The 1933-nt window shown below is 50.9% G+C and overlaps 1 annotated feature.

Moving 5' to 3' along the window:
* Window positions 1148-1683: an enhancer, noted in NCBI's record as "H3K4me1 hESC enhancer chr14:101755079-101755614 (GRCh37/hg19 assembly coordinates)". NCBI's record gives its function as "activates a minimal SCP1, AML or CMV promoter by ChIP-STARR-seq in naive H9 embryonic stem cells {active_cell/tissue: H9 hESC(naive)}" and the evidence as "EXISTENCE:reporter gene assay evidence [ECO:0000049][PMID:30033119]".

Genomic DNA, 1933 nt, shown 5'->3' with positions numbered 1-1933 from the left:
AGCCTCTGGGCTCCCAAACCCCGTCTTCTTTCCATTAATACCCCTGGCTTCCCTTCTCTTCCCTAGGAGTGGGGGGCAGTGACCCGTGATATTTCCAGTTTGTGCACAGTTGTGCCTGTGTGTGTGTGTGTGTATGTGTGTGTGTGTGTGTTTATGTATGCGTGTGTGTGTGCATGCATGTGTTTGCCAGTGGTAAGGACAGAAAATAAGTGGCTAGTGACCTCCTTGGACACCTACACCTAACTCCGCAGCCTTCGGTGACCTAAAGAGTCAGTCTGTGCCTGGTGGTGGTCTGAGAGCCGCTAACACAGTCACGTTGCTGCAGGCCTGAGCTCATGTTCTCGTTCCATCTCTGCGCCCTGGGAGGAGAGTGGCCACAGCACTCCAAGTCTGTTTCTGCAGCTGCAGAATGAGCTCAATAGTGCCTACCTTGCAGGGCATTTTTTGAAAATGGATAATTACATGAATAGGTCACACACATAGTAGGTCTTGGTAAATATCCCTTTTCATCTCACATAAGAACTCTCCAAGGGCAGCCTGATGACAAGGTGGTCTCAGCGCCATCGTGTTCCATTTCGTGGCGTCTGGAACCAACACTTAAGCAGAACAGCACATCCCACTTGTTTACATCTCTGATACCACCACCTCCTTTTGCTAATGGGCTTCGGTTTTTCCTTTTCTTATTCTCTTTGCCTAAAGGCAACAACGCTTGTCTTTAATCAGCATAAGGCAATTTAGTACCCCTCACATCAGCCTGCCAGGAAAAATGAGCCATTAATTTCCTGGAGGTTCCAAGAACACACTTTTATTTGTTATACTACAAACACATTGAGGCTGCTGTGCCGGAAAAAAAAAAAGAAAAAAGAAAACTACGCTAAGTCCCCTGTTTGCCCAAGGTGACTCCGTAAAAATTAACTGCAGTGTTCAAGGCTGTCTTTCCTCTTTGTGACACAGCTGATGAACTTAGGTGTGATTCGAAGAGCAAAGTGCAGGTGTGTTTACCACCGTCGCTCTGTCAGGGAATCTGTTTCAACTGTAAAGGGATGCGATGCGGTTGTGCAATTTTCGGCCTGGGAACTGCATAGGTAAATAAAAAACAAGACGCGGTGTGAGTTTGGCTGTTCTTTTGCCCGCAGTTGGCTGTGGCCTTCTCCTCATCTTCACCATCCCTCCGGCAGTTTCCAGTAGAAAATTCTGGTGAAGGCGCTGGCCGTTCTTGCAGCGTTTCCCAGGATACGTTTGCCTCTCGCCCTGCTGAAGAAGATATCCTGGGCAGGTGGTCCTTTCATGGCTGTTCCTCACGGACAGTTCACTGCTCTGCTCAGAGATGTGTCCTGCCTCCCTGCTGACGCCACTCTGGGGGCCTGGGTTTGCTGTGTCAGCCAGAACCTCCACTTGCTGTTGGGAGGATCTTGCACCTGCCCCACACCTACTCTGTGGGTCCCGAGACCTCCCTGCCATTCCTTGGAGGGTCTGTCAATTTCAGGGTCTGGGGTCTGAGCAAGGGAAAGTGGGGAATGCCACTGTCCAATTTTTGCGCTGCTGTTTGGGTCTGGCAGTAAATCATTGAAGAGTCAAGGCCGAGTCCACCAGGGGGAGGGAAGAGGCAGAGAGGCCAAGGCCCATCTTCAGCATGAATGAATTGGGAGCTGGCCTTGAAATCAGAATTGGGTAATCACCGACATTCCTTCCTGCTACTGGGGGTGGCCATAGCTGGAGAGCTGCTGTGGGTGGCTGTGGACAGAGGAGAGGCTCAGAAAGGGGCCGGAAGCAAGCGACGCTCCATGTTGTGTAATTATTGTCCAGACTTTGATCTCAAGCGACAGGGTCCTCGGGGAGCTTGCTGCACTTGATTTAGGAGTCTGTTCTGCCGTCTCCCACCGCAGACTCACAGCGGCTCCTCCTGCAGTGTGAAAGAGTGGTGCTGACTCTT

Source organism: Homo sapiens, chromosome 14 (assembly GCF_000001405.40).
Source record: "Homo sapiens chromosome 14, GRCh38.p14 Primary Assembly".
Taxonomy (NCBI): domain Eukaryota; kingdom Metazoa; phylum Chordata; class Mammalia; order Primates; family Hominidae; genus Homo; species Homo sapiens.
The sequence above is the reverse complement of the archived record's forward strand: the minus strand, read 5'-3'. Positions and strand labels throughout refer to the sequence as shown.